At 52.9% G+C, this 19,061-nt stretch overlaps 1 protein-coding gene across 5 annotated transcripts in view, besides 3 other annotated features; it reads right to left on the bottom strand.

The window, feature by feature from the left end:
• Positions 1-19,061, bottom strand: part of KCNQ1 (potassium voltage-gated channel subfamily Q member 1) — a 404,098-nt gene that overhangs the window by 279,216 nt on the left and 105,821 nt on the right. The gene's annotated exons all lie outside the window — the stretch shown is intronic.
• Positions 31-251: a silencer, noted in NCBI's record as "fragment chr11:2590869-2591089 (GRCh37/hg19 assembly coordinates)". NCBI's record gives its function as "represses an EF-1alpha promoter that drives an FKBP-Casp9 reporter gene in an ReSE screen in HepG2 liver carcinoma cells {active_cell/tissue: HepG2}" and the evidence as "EXISTENCE:reporter gene assay evidence [ECO:0000049][PMID:32094911]".
• Positions 3,097-3,391: a silencer, noted in NCBI's record as "tiled region #10946; K562 Repressive non-DNase unmatched - State 13:Ctcf". NCBI's record gives its function as "represses a minimal TATA promoter and a strong SV40 promoter by Sharpr-MPRA in K562 cells {active_cell/tissue: K562}" and the evidence as "EXISTENCE:reporter gene assay evidence [ECO:0000049][PMID:27701403]".
• Positions 8,236-9,019: an enhancer, noted in NCBI's record as "H3K27ac-H3K4me1 hESC enhancer chr11:2582101-2582884 (GRCh37/hg19 assembly coordinates)". NCBI's record gives its function as "activates a minimal SCP1, AML or CMV promoter by ChIP-STARR-seq in naive H9 embryonic stem cells {active_cell/tissue: H9 hESC(naive)}" and the evidence as "EXISTENCE:reporter gene assay evidence [ECO:0000049][PMID:30033119]".

Below are 19,061 nucleotides of genomic sequence, written 5' to 3'. Positions count from 1 at the left end.
AGACCCTCGGAGCTGGATCCCACCCCCTAGGCACAGAAGTGGAAAGCTGGGCCTCAGTTTCCTCAGCTGTATAGTGTGGATGCAGCAGGGCCAGGCTCAGTGGGCTTGGTGGGGACTTATTGCCAAAATGCAGCTTTCATGTGAAGTGCAGCCCATTGTGACACTTAAAGTGCAGCGGCCACCTGCAGGCTGGAGCCCAGCGCCCAGGCAGCCGGGGTGTACGGGAGGCCCTTGGGGAAGGTGTGTGGGGCTGGAAGATGAAACCAGCCCCCACGTGTGAGAGGCGCTAGCCACACAAAGCCACAAAGCCACAGGCATACGGCGTCTCAGGCCCACTTCCGGCGGACTCCTGCCTGTCCTCCCTCAGAAGCCGGGCCCTGGAGGGGACTTCTGCTCCCACTGGGTGACAGTGGCTGGCCTTGCTCCCATGCCACGCCCCCACCAGGGAGTCCACTATGAGCAGTCAGCTGGACACTGCCATCGCTGGCTCCCAAATGTTATTAATTAGGATGGAATGATACTTACACCATCCGGCATGTGTTTGGGACAAGCCCAATGGATAAGGGGAGACACGCTGGGAGCTTAGTTGCTTTCCTTTTGCAAAAATGTTTTTGGCTCATGACGTCAAATCCTTCAGGGGTGTGTGGGTGTGTGCGGACAGGTGCATACTGGAGATGGCAGGGGTGTAAGGTAAAGAAAGGGTGTGGGCCAGGTGCGGGGGCTCACGCCTGTAATCCCAGCACTCTGGGAGGCCGAGGCAGGCAGATCACGAGTTCAGGAGTTCAAGACCAGCCTGATCAACATGGTGAAACCCTGTCTCCACTAAAAATACAAAAATTAGCCTGGCATGGTGGCGCACGCCCTGTAATCCCAGCTACTCAGGAGGCTGAGGCAGGAGAATCGCTTGAACTCGAGAGGCAGAGCTTGCAGTGAGCCGAGATCACACCATTGTACTCCAGCCTGGGTGACAGAGTGAGACTCCATCTCAAAAAACAAAAAACGAAAAACAAAAATCAAAAAACAAAAACAAAAGGTGTGGACACCTGCAGGCTCTGTGGCCTCATGGGGGGGGTGTGGGTCCCACCTCTGTCCTCAGCTCCTGGGGACCAGGGCTCTAGGCTGAGGTCCGGCTGAGCTCCTTAGAGAAGAGGCTACCTTGGTCTTATCCACCCCCATTTCCCAGGCCCCAGAACAGGACCTGCTCCAGTCAGTGCTCAACATGGACATGCTGAATGAACGAATGAAGGAACAAATAAATGACTATTCCAATGAGCCGGCCTAGGGCTCTCTGGTAGCAGGAGCTCTGTCTCGTCGGTCTTTGCTTCTGAGAAACTGCCCGTTAGGGAGACCGGGCCTGGACACCATAACACCCGCCTTTGTTTGGTCATCGTGAAAAAGGCCACGGAAACACAGAGCTCCAAGTCCCCGGAGCTGAGACAGGGTGCCCATGACGGCACAGAGGCCGGCTCACCCGACTATTGGTGGCCTTGATGGGGAGGCATAGCGGCTCCCAGCCCAGCTCTGCTGACCCATCCACCACCCAGCAGACTGGCCCTTAGCAGGGTTTTTCTTGTTTTGATGCACTTTATTTATTTATTTATTTATTTATTTATTTATGAGACAGAGTCTCGCTCTGTCACCCAGGCTGGAGTGCAGTGGCGTGATCTCGGCTCACTGCAACCTCTGCCTCCCAGGTTCAAGCAATTCTCCTGCCTCAGCCTCCTGAGTAGCTGGGACTACAGGCGCATGCCACCACGCCTGGCTAATTTTTTTGTATTTTTTTAGTAGAGATGGGGTTTTGCCATGTTGGCCAGGCTGGTCTGGAACTCCTGACCTTAGGTGATCTGCCTGCTTCGGCCTCCCAAAGTGCTGGGATTATAAGCGTGAGCCACCGCGCCTGACCTTGTTTTGATGCACTTTTAAAATTACTTAAATACCTTCTCCAGGCATGTCCTAGGCAGGTCTGAAATGATAGGTGTGTCTTATGTTATACCCTGAAATAGATAAGTAACTATTAAGGATTGCTGTGGATAGCTGCGTGTCTTTTTAAAGTTATTTTGACCTAACACTCAGGGAACCTGTTTAGGGGCTGGCCTTCGAAGATGGCAGGACTCCTGCCTGTGGGACAAGGTGGTAGGAATGATTAAAAACAACACTGATCCCCAAATCCAGCTGGATGTGGGAAGGCAGTGCAAGGCTGCATGGCTGGGGAGGCCCCGCTTGTCAGGTTAATTAGGCTGGTGCTGCTAGCAGGCCAGGAAAGAGCCAAGGAAAAGTCCCCTCACCATCTCTAGGCTGGAAACAGCAAGATGGAATGTTTGCTCAGAGATAAAACTATCTCCACCACCATCAGCCTCAAACGCTCTCCTGGGCTGTGTGGGACAACACCCAGGGCCAAGGCCACAGCAAGACCCCAGGGAGCTCACACTCAGCTGGGGACAGGGAGGAGGGCTGGTCCCCCACGCCATGCCATGGCCCACCCCTGATTCACGGGACCACATCCCCAGTCTAAAGCAGGCTCACAGAATGGCAGGCCTGCCTCCCCCTGGTTCCAGCAGTCCAGACCCCAGGTGGGTGATGCCCCAGCCACCCTCCTAACCCTGGGTTCATCTGTATTTGCAGACTTGGTCCTAAGTTCCAAAGGTGAACTAAAGGGGCCTCAAGCTCCTCCCCAGAACCTGCACACATTTGGTACTTCTCCCTTGCCCACCTTGCTCAAGCAGCTGCCATAGCTCCTGCTGTCCACACTGAGGGTGACAGTCTAGGGCTGTCCCTGAGGCCTCCTTCCCAGGGGCTCACCGCCCAGTCTCCCCCAGAGCCTCCCGTGGGCCCCAGGTGCCCCCCATTCCCTGGGGCACCCCTGCCTCCTCAGGACCCTGTGTCAGGAGTGCTCTCTCCCTCCCCCACTCCACCCCCTAGGTTACCCCACCCTTCTCAGGCCAGCTCAGCACCCCCATCACCCCCAATCCCTCTGAGAGCCCCATCCACTACAGGTACAGAACCGGGGTACTTCCTGACTCCCCCACTGATAACAAGGCCAGCCCCAGGGCCTTCTCTGAGGGGCACCCAGGATCATCCAGCCCCACAAAGCGCCTCTCACAAGATCTATGTGGTGCCTGCAAGCCCCCCGGGGTCAAGGATGCAATGGCCCGGGATGCTGATGGAGTGCGGCCCTGAGCTCTGCCCCGTAGATACGAGAAGAAGAGCCGTCCTTGGTCTCCACTGAGACCACAAACAGACCAAAGGGACAAGGAGGCCCCTCCTACCCTGGTCACTCTCCTTCAGACTAAAGCAAGGCCGCCTCCTGGCTGCAGATGGCTTCATGGACAAAAGGGCCTCAGATCTGGGCACCGAGACGTGCACAGAGCAAACACAGACCCACATAATGGGGGTGGTGGCCTCTGTTCACATTTTACAGAGGAGGAAAGCCAGGCTCAACTAGGTCAGGTCACCCGCAGCTTAGGGGAGGGAAGACTGGCGTCCATGGCAGAGAGAGCCCCGCCCCGGGACAAGGTACAGGTGTCCTCGGGTGTGGGAGAGGACACTGGCAGGTGAGGCCAGGCCTGCCATGGAGGGCTGACCACTCTCATGCACAGACATGACCTGGGCATGGTGGTGGTTCTGGAAGTGGCCCTGTTACTGCCAGATGAGTGGGTGCAGGCCAAAGGCTGGAGGACCCTTGGCAAAGGGGACCCAGACATGAGATAAGGACACCAGGCTGCAAAAGTGGCCCTGGGAGAGAGAGGGTAACCAAGAGAGACTCCAGAGCCTCCAGCCCTGCCAGGGGACAGGGAGGTGTCTCAGCCCTGTGGGGTGAGGTGGGGAAGACAGGCCTGGGCCTCACAGAGCCGTCAGCACCACCAGCCGCCCTGCCTTGGTGGTCATCTAGTGGGCAGCCGGGAAGCTGGAGAGCTGGGTCTGGCCTGGAGGGAGGGTGTGGGTGTCAGATGGCCCCAAGGCGGGTGCAGGCACAAGAGCCACCAGGACCACAGCACCCTCCTTCCTCCAGACCCAGTGAAGGGCCTGGGACAAAGACGTTCAGGGTCAGGAAGCCAAACCCCATGGGTTCTGCCCCTCCCTGAGACACCTTCGCAGAAACAACAGAAAAGACATGTGAAGTGGGAAGAAACGCCTCGGAGCCTTGGCTGATGCCACTGCACTCCACATCGGACCCACTCGTTCGACTGTATGCTTTTCTAGCAAGGCCTGAAAGCAATGAGTTTCTGGGTCCCTGCCCCCCAAAACAAGATAGGCCACGGGTCTTTCCCCTGGCCACAAGTCAGCCCATCCCACACTGCACCCTCAGCTCTGTTCTACCATGAGTGTGAATCCATGTCCATCCTGGGGCGTGTTATAAGTTGGCTCTCAGGTGTCTTATTTGTGTGCTTTAAAATTATTTAAAAAACCAAAGTTCCTAACAACTCAATTTTTAAAAAATAGGCAAAGGGCTTGGACAGTCATTTCTGTGAAGAAGATACACAGATGGCCAAGAGGCACACGGAGAGGTGCCCAGTGTCACTAATCATCAGGGAAATGCAAATCAAGACCACAACGAGATGCCACCTCTCATCCATTAGGGTGGCTGCCACCCCAAACAGAGTGACAAGTGCTCCCAAGGATCCGGAGAAGTTGGGACCTTGTGTGCTGCTGGGGGATGTAGAATGCCACAGCTCCTTTAAAGCGTGAAATGACCAGCCGCTCGATTTTGCTGTGAACCTAAAACTGCTCTAACAAATAGTCTGTTTAAATAACATGCCAGAAAAAAAACAGAATTACTGTATGACCCAGCAATTCCACTTTGGAGTCTGTCCCCGGTCTCTTTAAAGGAGATCCATACACACCCATGTCCACAGCAGCAACATTCACAACAGCCAAAAAGGGGAACCAGCCCAGTGTCCCTCAGTGCACCGACGGAGACGGAAGATGTGGTCCCTCCCTACCACGGAATAGGATTTGGCCTTAAAAAGGAAGGGGATTCTCACACAGGCTGCAACATGGAGGAACCTTGAAGACATTACTCTCAGTGAAATGATCCAGTTACACAAGGACAAATACTATCTGCTTCCACTCACGTGAGGTCGCTACAGTCATCAGATTCACAGAGGTAGAAAGTAGATGATGGGCGCCAGGGGCTGGGGAAGGGGGAGTAGGGAGTGAGTGTTTAATGGGGACAGACTTTCATCAGTTTTGCAAGATGAAAAAAGCTCTGGAGCTGGATGGTGGCGATGGTCGCAAGGAACTGTGATCTTAAAAAGGGTTAAGATGGTAAAACATATTTCCATTTTATTTTATTTTGAGATAGAGTCTTGCTCTGTTGCCCAGGCAGGAGTGCAGTGGCACCATCTCAGCTCACTGCAACCTCTGCCTCCCAGGTTCAAGTGATTCTCCTGCCTCAGCCCCCTGAGTAGCTGGATTAGAGGCACCCACCACCACACCCGGCTAATCTTTTTGTATTATTAGTAGAGACAAGGTTTCACCATGTTGGCCAGGCTGGTCTCAAACTCCTGACCTCAGGTGATCCGCCCGCCTCAGCCTTCCAAAGTGCTGGGATTGCAGGCATGAGTCACCGCGCCTGGCCTTATATTTCACCATAATGTTTAAAAAGAACATGTTTGTCAGGAACTAGGAGAAGGGCAATGGGGATGGTTTTCCTTTTGAGGTGATGAAAAAGCTCTGGAACCGGAGACAGGTGTTGGCTGAACCGCCTTGTGAACATACTAAATGCCACCAAATTGCACGCTGTGAAATGGCTGAAATGGCTGAAATGGCTGAAATGGTGAATTTTACGTTATGTGTGTTCTCTGATACTGAAATGAGTGCCTCGAGGGGCCCTGGCCCGTGGCGGTTGCTCACCTGGGCTCCCGCGGGTCAGGTCTCCAAAAGGATTCTGTGGGCCTTCAGGGCCACCCAGCGGCCCCGAGTATCTGCCGCACTCCAGCTGTGGTCATCTGTAGCTGTCCTTGAGCCTTTAGTTCTTAATCTTCACTGACTATTGTTAGTTCAGCATTCAACGAAATAGCTAAGCACAAGCCATTTGTCAATTGCAAAATGGCATGCAGACCTTGAGCCCTCTCAGGATGAAGACAGAAAACAAATAGCAGGCAGTGCAAAGGGCCCTGGGTGGAAAAACACAGGCAAGCTGTAAAATTCCCCTAATCTTGTTTCATCGGAACGCTGACAAGACTTATGTTGAATGGTGCTCGGTGCCATCCTTCACGGGGGGCCCTGGATGCCAACGGGACACCCTAAGGCACAGTCACTGCCACTGACGGCTTCGCTATTGGTACTGAAATCTTGTCATTAGGCAGACAGACCCTGGGACCCTCAACCTCAACCCAGGGGAAATCAGTGCATGGTGCGGAAGGAAAATGGAAGCTCAAGGTAGCTCAAGGTCACACAGGAGGAGACACATGGCCCCGCAGGCCGACCCCATGCTGGTATCCGGTGTTGTGGGGTTACAGTGGCATAAAGAGGAGACCTGCCCGAAGCCGGAGGGCCAGCAAGGGTCTAGCAAAGCAGGTGCTTATCTGGGATTTTTAGTCTCCGAGTGAACAGAGCGGGGAAAGGTCGCACTTTGGCTCAAACGTGTTGCAACCGGCCGTGGAACCGGTGTTCTCCGAGAAGGCTGAAGGTCGACCTGGCCATCTTATCTATTGTTTTGCTTTTATCAGCCGGCGAATCTCCAACATAGCGAAGATTTTCTGGGGTTCAATGTGTTTTGAAGTTCCATGCTGCTGGAACCACATAATTTAGGACCCTAGAGAAGGTCCCTGTGTCAATCAATCACGTGGGAAAGATCACAGGGCAGCCTGAAATAACTGGTTCTGACCAGCTGCGCTCACATCCTGTCTCTCTGGATGAAATATATAGATTTTTTTGCAAAACATAAAGGAAGCCTCGCAGACCCTTATCGCGAGGACTTTAGTGTCTCTGATATTACTCTTCTATTATCTCTTTTGTCTATTTTGGTGTCTCTGATGTTACTGCTCTACAGTATCTTTAAAGGAAAATTAATTTTAAAGACGGCGGAAGATGAAGATTAAATACGAAGGATCAGAGCTGAGCTTTGTGGAAGGGGCCAGGGTCAAGGATGCAGAAACACAGCCGGCCTCCCTGGCGCCCCCATAGACTTAGGCCTGGGGACCTTCCACTGGAGCCAGGAATCCACCCACCCTTGAAAAGCCTGAGATCTGTACCCACACTTTTTAGGAGACAATGAGGCCTCATCAGGCCAAGATGGGGCCTGGAGACTCTGAAGAGGGGTGGACACAGGGGTTAGGCTGAGGGTGCTGTGGGGACCCGGGATTAGGGTCTCACCCCCTCCCATAGCGAGGAAGCCAGAGGGCTGGGCCTGTGCTGAGCCAGGCGCTTCCCTGTGGGGGCAGTGGTCCCCACAGCATAGAGCCCGGCTGGCGGGCTTTGGGGCCAGCTGTTCCAACTCCACACCGGCCCGGCCCTGATAAGCCACAGAGAGAGCCAGCCTCGGCTCCGGGGAGGGTCAGCTGGCCGGAGGGCAATGCAGGCACTCAGGCAGCTCAAAGCGCCCTTTGTCCCAGGGCCTGCCTGTGGCCAGCTGCTCCCAGCCGCCAGCCTGTGCTGAGAGCTTGTGGGCCCCCAGTGACGTGCTGGGCACAGCTGGGGCCCTCATCCACACTCACCCCCGCCCTCACCCCCACCCCCCGGGGAGTACCAGTCCCCACCCCGCCCAAGGTAGCCTGGCCTGGGGCAGGCGCCACAGTGCAGCCGGCCAGGCCCAGGTGAGATGCACCATCCACTGGGCTGAGGGTGGCACAGTCGGGGTCCGGCTGCCCTGTCCTGGCCTTACTGCTGGGGACATGACCCTGCCCTGCCACAGCCCCTCCCCTGCCAAGTGTCCCCTTAGTGTGGGCACCGCTGGGGTGCCACCCTGAGGCAGCCTTAGTCGGGCTGCATCCTTCTGCTCGGCTGCTTCCCCAGGCCCCATGGAACGTGCAGCCCGTGACCTTGAGTGGGGCCCTCTGTGTCCCTCCTGAGGCCCTGGCCACCCAAGGCCCTGCCCGCCCAAGGTAGCCTGGAACAGGCCCACCTCCTCGGAGGGGAGGGCTTCTGGGCCCCTGCACAGCTAGCTCCAGGCAGCCAGGGGTGGCACTGGGAGTATGGTGGGGGGACCCGCTACCTTGGCCAGGCCCCCTGAGAGCCCCTTGTCCCACACATTAGCAAGAGAAAGGATCGCTAAGCAGGAGGAGGATGGGCACAGGGCAGGAGCAGGCTGGTGTGAGGACACTGGTGGCATCCCAGGCGGGGGACCCAGACGAGCAGCTCAGCCTCTCTGTGCTCAGCATCCACACCTGTAAAATGGGGCACCAGCAGTGCCCACCTCCTAGGACTGTGGGGAGGGCGAAATGACAACAGTGGCCTGGGCCTGTGGAAAGGGCATGGGAATAGTGTAGCAGGAAGGTGGTGTCCCATGTGCTCAAGAGGGAAGCGACCTTGTCCTCGGGGGGCAGGGTCCTGAGTACAGGTGGGGTACAGACTCTCATGCTGCACACAGCACAGAAGAGCCCCGCTGACCTGACGCCCCGTCCCGTGCTGGCCCAGCTGCCTGGGGCCCTCCACGTCACCTGGCCTTCCTGGCTGTGGAAGTTCCTATCTGTCCACAGCTCCACCCTGGGAGTTCCTTTTTTTTCTTTTTTTCTTTTTTTTTTTTTTTGAGACGGAGTCTCGCTGTCGCCCAGGCTGGAGTGCAGTGGCGCAATCTCGGCTCACTGCAGGCTCCACCCCCTGGGGTTCACACCATTCTACTGCCTCAGCCTCCCGAGTAGCTGGGACTACAGGCGCCCGCCACCTCGCCCGGCTAATTTTTTGTATTTTTAGTAGAGACGGGGTTTCACCGTGTTAGCCAGGATGGTCTCGATCTCCTGACCTCGTGATCCGCCCGCCTCGGCCTCCCAAAGTGCTGGGATTACAGGCCTGGGAGTTCCTATCTGTCCTGCAGGGCACCGCGCAGCCTCACTCTCCCTGCAGTGAAGCCCTCCCCCATCCACTGCTGCCTCTGCTGGGATCCCTCCTTTCCTCCACGTCTGTCCTCATCCCACCCAGAGCGCCCTAAAGTCAGGGGCCCGCCTTCTCCACCTGCAAGCTCAGTGCTGAGACCAGCTCACTACCCACCTTGTGCCCAAAATCCTGCTGAGAAACTTCAGGCAGGGGACAGGTGTGTCTCCCTCCCAGGCACCTGCCTTGTGGGTGCTGTACTTGGGGTGTGGAAGGGGAGGCTGAGGGGCCCGTAAAGACCTGAAGACCCCCACTCTGGACATCATCCCCCATGTTTGGGATGTTACTGTCTCCCCCAGGATGGACGTCACCCCCCCCCGCCCCCCCAGAAGGAACATCACCTTCCCCCGTCCCCCAAGGATGAACATCACCCGCCCCCAGGATGGACGTCACCCCCCGTCCCCCCAGGATGGACATCCCCCACCGTCCCCCCAGGATGGACGTCACCCCCCAGTCCCAGGATGGACGCCACCCCCCAGTACCCCCAAGATGGATGTCACCCCCCCCATTCCCCCAGGATGGACGTCACCCCCCTGTTCCCTCAGGATGGACGTCACCGCCCCCACTCCCCCAGGATGGACGTCACCGCCCCCACTCCCCCAGGATGGACGTCACCCCCCCATCCCCCAAGGATGGACGTCACGCCTCCGTCCCCCCAGGATGGATGTCACCCCTCCCCAGGATGGACATCACCCCCCTCATTCCCCTGGGCTGGACATCTCCCCCCCATGTCTGAGATGCTAACCCCCTCCTGACCGGATGTCACGGCCCCCCATGGCTGAGATGCTGCTATCTGTCCCCAGGCTGGCGGTACCCCCTCCCCCGTGTTTGGGACGCTGCCTCTCCCCACAGGGCACCTCTGGAGCTCCTCCTGGTCTGGCTGCCCCTCTCTGAAGTCACTGGAACACTCTGGGGGTCCTGGCCCTGCAGGAAGACACACCCAGGAAACCAGCGGAAGCCACACACCAGGCCCCACCCTGACTTCCCATGGGACCCCAGAGACAGAGAGGGAGGAAGGAGCCCCTGCCCAGGAAGCAGGCAGCAGAGCCCTAGCCACAGGCCTTCCCACAGCTGGCGGCCATCTCTGACCTTCAGAGCTGCAATCGGCCAGCTGCTCTGTGTGCTTGTCTCCCCGTTAATGATTTCGGGGTGACTCTGGGAGGCACGAGGCCGCTTTCCCTCCAGAACTAGCCCCACCTGCCAGCTGCCCGGACGTGTCTTCTTCCTGGTGAGCGAGAGAGGCAAGGGACTTGCTGGGTCGTCATGGGGATGGCCGTTCCCATCCACCGGGCAGCCGGGCCCTGCAAGTGGGTGACAGCTGTCGTCTGGTCCCCACATCCCGGACACCATCCTGACAGGCGGCATGAGGCCCAGTGTCCCCTGTGGGCTGTCTGGGGAGACTCTCAGGAGGCTAAAACCACAGGGGCTGGCCCTCCCCCTGCCCCGGGCTCTACGTCTAAGTAGCCACAAGGGCACATCCCGGGGTGTCAACAAGATCCAGGGCTTTCCTGATCCTCCCTGTGCCTGCGTCTACCCCTGGCCTAAGGGGAGCCATGTTCACACATTTCTCTACGACCCTCCAGGCCCCAGGACTGATTCCATAAGGCCTTGGGTGTCGAATGCATCCTCTCCACGGGCTTCCCGGGAAGCACCTCTGGGAAGACTGCCTGGTAGGCTTTCAGAGAGCAACGAAAGTGCAATATTTTGCTCAAGGGACACTCCTTGAGCAAAACCTCCCTGCAGGCCAAGGCTCAAGTGACCCCTCTTGCTGAGCCGGTGCCTCCAGCCCCACCTTGCCCCTTGTCCGTAGCTCTGGGAGTAACTGCAAACTCTTGACATTTGTCACTCAGGTACCTCACCTGGGTCTGAGCAGGAGGTGCTCAAGGCAGCTGGCCCCATGTGTGGGTGTAGTGGGGGAGGCTTCTCAGGGTGGAGGGGTTAGCTAAGAAAGGAACTTGGACCACACCCTGGGCCTAGCACATTCTTGGGCCCATTATCATTGGGGCCAAATCTTTCCCAGGACTGCCGGCTTCCGGGCCTTGGCCTCCCCATGAAGGCTGCCCACCCATGGAGGGGAGGAGAGTGGGGCCTCTCAGTAATTTTAATTTCACATGTACTGCCGGTGCCTTACGGGGGCCGACTAGAGTTACACACGTTTCAGGCGGTTTAATGAGGTGCCTCCAGCCCTGGGACCCAGCTCGCTGCGCAAGCCGGCGGGGTGGGGGTTCCCGAAGCGCGGCCCACTTCCTCCCCCACCTGGGTGTTCTCAAGGTCAGGAGGCGGACACAGGGCGCAGCAGCCACCTGACACCTGCCTGGGGTGGGAGAGGCAGATGGCGCTAGGCAGAGTGCCCACAGGCTGGCCCATCTAGTCTCTGCTCCGAACTGGGCTTATCAGCAGATTCTGATGAAGCAAAAACTATGTGGACCCCCCCGCCTGGAGACCCCCAGCACACTGAATCAACCCATCACCTGGCAAGGGGTGAGAACCCAGGACGCACTGAATAAACACGTATGCTTACACAGTGTGCAAGGCACATACTTCATTACTTTCAGGCAATAGATGAATTTCAATCCACGTGGGGGACAACATTTGCAAACACAGTGAAGCCACCAGCAAGCGATGTGGGCACTGGCATGGAATTTACAAAATAAAAGCATCTACAGTTGGTGCTGGGGGGCAGCTGGAGTGATGTAGGGGCTGGGGCAGGCAGCGGGGCCTACGTCTCATAACGCCCTACAGGGCCCGCACTTCCCACATCAATCTCTTCTTTCTGGCTATTTAGGAGAGTGTTGTTTAATTCCCAAATAGGTAAGGGATTTTTCTTCCCCAATCTTTTAATCATTTATTTCTCATGATATTGGGTTTTGATCAGAGAACATGGCCAGTTAAATCTCAATTTTTTGAGGTAGGTTAGATTTGTTTGTAGCCACATGAATGATTGGTTTTGTAAGTGTTCCGCAGACATAAGGGAACAAAACAACTCCATTACTAGGGTTCGAAGTGATAGTGCTGGTTTTAAAGCACAGTCCTATGAAGTTCTTTGCCAGTCCTCCCCAACTGAACCTGGGCTCTGTGACACCTGCATCAGGAGAATACAGCCAGGTGGCTCTCAGTCCCTGGCACTGCCTGTCTCCTGGACTGTTCATTTCTGAGATGTGAGGAATCCATGCAGCCTTGGAGAAGCCCTCATGAACAGGAGCCTTACCAGCCATGTAGATGCAATGCTGTGGAGGCTCCAGCCCCAGCTGATACTATGCAGAGGGGAGATGAGCCGTCCCACTGAGCCCTGCCAGACTGTAGGCTAGCGAGCTCAGGCGTGATGCGTATTTTGAAGGTGCTAGATTTGTGGATGGTTTGTTACATGGCTATAGATAACAAGAACAGGAGTTATTTCAAATTACTGTTAGAATCTGAAATTGCTCATGATTACAACATTTACCTGTCCATGTCCTCACTTATTTTGTGCCCACTAGAACTGTCCTATTCCAAAAGAGGTACATTAAAATCTCCTCCCGTTATCATATTTAACCTTCCTGTCCTTGCAGATTTTCAATAGTTTTTGCTTTATGTATTTTATGTTGTATGATGCCTTAAAGATTACAGTCAGGTCTTCTAATAGTGCCTGATCTCATTCACACTTGTCTTGTTTGGGCTTCAGTGTTGATATTCATCCTGATCTCCCTGTTTTTTCTCTCCTTTTCTTCTTTTAGCTTGCAGTTTCTTGGCCTCTCTTTGGCCATTCCTTTATTTTTCAACCACCCATTATTGCTTTGCCTTACTTAATGCTGCTGAGCAATGTATTTGTTAAAAGATAAAAGCCCAGAGCTACGGCACGGCCTTCTCTGTCTTTCAAAGAGGAATTCAGGCGATTTACATTTGGTGTGAAGTTGGAGGCATTTGATTTGACTCTTTCTGTCCTTATATTTGCTATTTGACTCTGTTGACTTCTCCCTTTTGCTTTTGGTTGTTTAGTTGAGCCACATGTTATCCATGTTCTGATCCTCATGAAGTTGAGGATGTCACTGAACTCTCATTTCACTGGTTCCTCAAACTCACAGCCAGGTCTGCTACTCTCTAAAGACAGTGTCCACTGTAGTGGGCTCCCTAAGGCTTTCTCCTCAGGAAGATAAGAATTTGCGTGTGACTGCATTTCACCCCTCTCCCTTCACCCCATCAACGGCTCTGTGGGTATAGAAAGCAACCTCCAACATTGTCTTCATAGTTTAGAACAGGGCTTGACAAGCTTTTTCTCTAAAGCCAGATAGTAAATATTTTAGGCTTTGCAGGCCACGCGATTTCTGTTGCAACAACTCCAGCAGACAATTTTGTGCTGTTATAGCACAAAAACAGCCAGAGATGAGATGTTCACAAGCACACGTGGCCGTGTGCTAATCAAATCTTATTTATACAGATCAGCAGCCAGGTTTGTAGGCTATGGTTTACGGACCCTTGGATTAAAGAATCCTCTGACAGGTAGGTATTCCTACCGGCTAAACTGTGTCCCCCGCCCCGCAAATTCATATGTTGAGGTCCTAGACCCTCCAGCACACCTCAGAGTGTGACCTTGTTTGGAAATAGGGTTGCTGCAGATGCTATTAGGTAAGATGAGGTGGTTAGGGTGGGCCCCTATTCCCATACAACTGGTGTTCTTATCAAACGGGAAACCTGGACATGGACTTGCCGGCCGGGGGGCGCTGTATGGAGGCGGAGGCAGGGTCTGGTGCGATGCGTCGACCGGGAACCCTTCCACAGTAGCTGGGGGAGGCCTGGAACACTCCCTCACAGCCTCAGAACGAACCCACCTCGCTGATACCTGGAGCTCAGACTCCTGGACAGGCAGGGGGCTGCAGCTGGCACCCAGGGGCTCCAGGTCATCAGCAAGGCCAGGCCAGAGGTCTGTTCTAGGGTCTCTAGAGAGGTCCAGGCCATAGGCCTCAGGGCCTGAAGCTTCTCTCTCCCCAGGCGGGGTCCCTGTGGGCCTACAAGAAAGTGGGCCCTGTCTCTCCAAGAGGTCTATCAGCCTACCCCTGCCCCATTCCACCAGAAAACCCAGGCTCTGAAGGCAGAACTCAATGTGCCAGTGGAGGCACTCCAGGCCGATGACCAGAAGAAAAGGCCCAGGGGCAGGAAAATGTGGGCATATGGGAGGCACTCAGGGCTCTGAACAGTCAAAAAGGCAGGTGGGGCTGCCCGCAAATCAGGCCCTGAATCCTCTGCTGAGCCCCACAGTTTGGGAGCTGCCTCCCAGGAATCATACCCAGGGCCCCGCACACACAGGAGTGGCCCAAGCCGGCTGCCCTGCAATTTGTGGTGGGGGAGCCCATGGCCCGGAGACGCCCACGCCTGGCTGCAGACACCATTAGCCGCCTGGCAGGCAGCTTTACACGTATTTAAAGCAAATCCCCCATCTTCCCCAGGCAGGGCTGTTTCCGTCTCCAGGCCAGTTAAACGAGGATTTAGTTTCAGCCTGGGAACCCCACTGCTGATGGCTGTTAACCCCAAAGACGGTGCACCCCTCTGATCACTGTCTTAGCTAGAACTGGGATAGGGGGAAAAGGGGGTGGAGCGGGGGACATTATTTTTATCTGCCAGGAGCCGAAGCTTCTAAAAATGTCATATTTAAGAATTTCACCAGCACTAGAAGTTTGGCAAACCAAAGAGACCAGGGGCTGAGCACCCTTCTTTTGACTTGGGGAGAGTGCTGAGAAGGCCGCAGGGTTGAACCCTGTTTACTTTAGCAGAGATTGAGGAGCTGCAACCCACACCGGCCCTTCAGGGGCCCGCGCAGTGTTGGGACAGGAAGGCCTGCGGTTATTAAAGGCTGCCCTGTGGACGTGTGTGTGTGCACGTGTGTCAGCGCGTGTGTGCACACGGGCCTGTCTAGTCTGTTTTCTGACTGCTGAGTACCTCACTCTGATTCTGCAAATCTAGAGATTTTAATAACAGGCGGTGAATTTAAACAGTTGTTTTCCCCCCCTTTCAGGAATGTTTTAAGGGATTGAGAGGAAATTGTGCACGGATTTTGCTGTTTTAAGAGCTAATATGTGAACAACTTCAGAAGGATGTATGTTGTTTTAGGGCTGAAGTTTACACAGTAAACGGGAGAGTCAAAAGCAGACTTGTCGTGAAATTGTAGGGCCTGTCTTCTTAAATTTCATTCCTCTGAGAAGGGACTGCCTCCCTGGGGAGCAAAGCTGGAAGGAAACAGAGAAAGTCTGATCTTTGTCCCCCGTGCCCCTTACGGTGTCCTGTTGCAGAATCCCTGGGGAGGCAGTGCCCAGTGGGATGGCCAGCAGCAGAGACCACCCAGCCCAGGCCCCCTCTCAGGGCACTGAGGAGGGTCCCCCTGCAGATGGCTGCATTCAGAGGTCTGCAAACCCCACAGCCCCTAAGCTGCTCAGGAATGACATGTCAGCACAACATGGTCTTGTTTCCAAATTTGGGCTGGGGCTTCTGCTCCTTGGGGACAAATACTTTCAAAGACATGAACAATCAAAACCTCATCAAGAAGAAATAGACAACCTGCATAGCCCTGTATCTGCTGACTTTCCAATGGCAAACTTCTCCACAAAGAAAACTCCAGGCCCAGATACCTCCACATGTTCTAGCTATCAAATGTTTAAGGGAGAAATAATTGCAATTCTACACAAACTCTTCCTAAAAATTGAAGAGCAGGAAATATTTCCCAACTCATTCTCTGATGCCAGCGGCATCTGATGCCAAAACCAGACACAACAGCCAACACATGGCAGGTGACGCCCTCGTGAGCGTGGGCGTGGAAGTTCTACACACAACCGAAGTCAGTCACATCCAAAAAGGTGTTTTAAAACGCATCATGACAGCTGGGCATGGTGGCTCACGCTTGTAATCCCAGCACTTTGGAAGGTCAAGGCGGGCAGATCACCTGAGGTCAGGAGTTCAAGACCACCCTGGCCAACATGGTGAAACCCTATCTCTACCTAAAAATACAAAAATTAGCTGGGTGTGGTGGCGGGCGCCTGTAATCCCAGCTACTCGGGAGGCTGAGGCAGGAGAATCACTTGAGCCTGGGAGGCAGAGGCTGCAGTGAGCCGAGATCACGCCATTGCGCTCCAGCTTGGGCAAAAAGACCAAGACTCCATCTCAAAAAAATAAAAAATTTAAAAAAGTACAAATACATATAAAATAAATAAATAAATAAATAAAATAAAATAAAATAAAAATTCATCATGACCAAGTGGGCTTTGTGTAAGGGAAGCAAGTTTGCTTTGCTATTTGAAAGTCAATCAGTGCGATTCCCCACACTAGCAAATTAAGAAAGAATTTGATTGAGATTGTTGCAAATGATATGATTATCTCAATAGAGGCAGAAGGAGCACTTGTCAAAAAATCCAACAGCCATTCTTGACGCACTCTCTATTCCCAGCAAACCAGGAAGAGGAGGAACTTCTTGGCCTGATAAGTGGCTTCTACTAAAACCCTACAGCTCCCACCACACCTAATGGTGAAAGATTACCTCACTTCACCTTAGGAGTAAGATAAGGATAGCAGCCCTCTCCCCACTGGCAGACACTGTCAGGTGCATTCAAGTAAAAACAAGAAATAAATAGTATATGGACTGAAAAGGCAAAAATAAGACTGACTTAATTGTGGACAACACAATCATCTCCATAGAAAATCCTAAAGAATCTACAAAAAAACAAAAAAAAAAAAAACAAAAAAAACCCCAAAAACAGATGAACAAGAAACCTTCTCAAACTAATAAGTAACATGAGCAAAGTCACAGGACGCAAGGTTAATATACGAACAAATCAATTGTATTTCTATATCCTAGCAACAAATAATCCAAAAGTGAAACTGAGAAAACAATATCATTTCAGTAGCTTCAAAAACATAAAATACTTAGGAACAAATCTAGCAAGTTTCACACCACTAAAAATTACACAATCCTGATGAGTGGTGTTGAAAAATATCTAAGACACCGGGGAGCAAGACCGTGTTCGTGGATCAGAAAACTCGGTATTACTAAGACGTGCATGAGGCACTGGGGAGCGAGACAGTGTTCGTGGATCGGAAAACTCGGTATTACTAAGACGTGCATGAGGCACTGGGGAGCGAGACCGTGTTCGTGGATCGGAAAACTCGGTATTACTAAGACGTGCATGAGGCACTGGGGAGAGAGACCGTGTTCGTGGATCAGAAAACTCGGTATTACTAAGACGTGTATGAGATCCAAATTTATCTACATATCCAATGCAATGCCAATCAAAATTCTAGCCAATTTTTTTTTTGGTAGAATTGACGAGCTGATTCTAAGATATTCATGAGAATGTGAAGGAGCTGGCAGAACAGCTCACTCTTGAAAATGAACAAAATTGGAGGATTAACAGGACCTGATTTCAAGGCTTAGCGTAAAAGTCACAGTAATCAAGACAGTGCTTTCCTGGCAGAACAGATGACAAAGTCCAGAAATCGAACCCACACACACGGCCAACTGATTTTCATCAAAGGTGCCAAAGTAATTCAATGGGAAAAAAGTCTCTGGGACAACTGGATAACCACATGCAGAAAGATTTAACCTCCATCCATACCTGTCACCATATATAAAATTAAACTCGAAATGAATCACAGATCTAAACAAGAAATGTGAAACTATAAAATTTCTACAGAAAACAGGAGAAAAAACTTTGTAATCTTGGATTAGGCGAATATTTCTTAGACAGAACACAAAGAACATGAACCCTAAAGAAAAAAAAAAAGAAGAACCCTGATGAATTGAACTTCATCAAAATTAAAAACTGCTGCTCTTTTGAAAGATCCTGTTAAGAAAATGCAAAGACAAAGCCATGACTGGGAGAAAATATTTGTAAAACAGATCTGGTGAAGGACTCATATCCAGAACATAGACACAACTCTTACAACTCACATGATTATTCTAAGAAGACAACCTAATTGTTAAAACCAGCAACAAACTGGACAGATCCTCCATCAAAGGAGATATATGAATGGCAAATATGCCCAACACCATTCGTCACTAGGGAAATGCAAATGAAGACCATGACGGAATATGGCTCCAGCCTTTAGGATGGGCAAAGCTTAAAAAGCAGACAATACTAAGTGCTGGTGAGAATCCATAGGAGCCAGAATGCTCGTACATTGATGGTAAGAGTGGAAAACGGGCCTACCATTTTGCAAAATGCTTTGGCAGTTTCTTCGAAAGGAAAATATGCATCTAACACATGATCCCGCAATCCCACTCCCAGGGATTTACCCCAGAGAAATGAAGACATATGATTACTCAAAAAACTGCACGCAATATTCATGGCAGCTTTAATCATAACAGCTGAAAACTGGAGACAGCTCAAATGTCCATCAGCCTGTGAATGGATAAACAAACTGTGGTACATTTTATCCTTTCCAAATAAAAGGAGACAAACTGCTGAATGCAGAGACCATGACACGGATGGGCCTCAAATGAATTATGCTAAGTGACAGAAGCCAGGCGCAGAGGCTACACGCCGCGAGATTCCATTCACATGACGTTCTGGAAAAGGCAAAACCATGGGGACAGGAAACACGTCCACGGTTCCCAGGTGCGGGGAGGGGCTAGCCGCCAGTGGGTACCAGGGAGCTTTCGGGTGATGGGAACACCTTGGATCTTGACTTTGGGGGTGGTTACAGGACCATAAATGTTTGCCAGGACTCATCGAACTGGACATCTACAGAGGGGGAGAGTTTTCCTGTATGTAACTTAAACCTCGACAAACCTAAATTTAAAAGAAGAAATTAGAAAATAAGAAAACCTAAGAAATGCATGAGTCAGTCAACAATACTTTTTAGTTAATCTATTTAGAGGGAGAGGCAGCTATGACCCCACCAAGCCCACTGAGCTCAGCACAGCCTCCCCTGCCTCCTGCTACCACCAGAGTCTGGCCTGGGAGCAGCTGTACCCCATGGATGGAACACGGGGACCCTGTCTCAGTCTGTGCCCCCCCCTCACTTGGCAGCCTCCCCAGGCACCCCTCGCCTGCCATCTGGGCCCCCGGGGA

Source organism: Homo sapiens, chromosome 11 (assembly GCF_000001405.40).
Source record: "Homo sapiens chromosome 11, GRCh38.p14 Primary Assembly".
Taxonomy (NCBI): domain Eukaryota; kingdom Metazoa; phylum Chordata; class Mammalia; order Primates; family Hominidae; genus Homo; species Homo sapiens.
The sequence above is the reverse complement of the archived record's forward strand: the minus strand, read 5'-3'. Positions and strand labels throughout refer to the sequence as shown.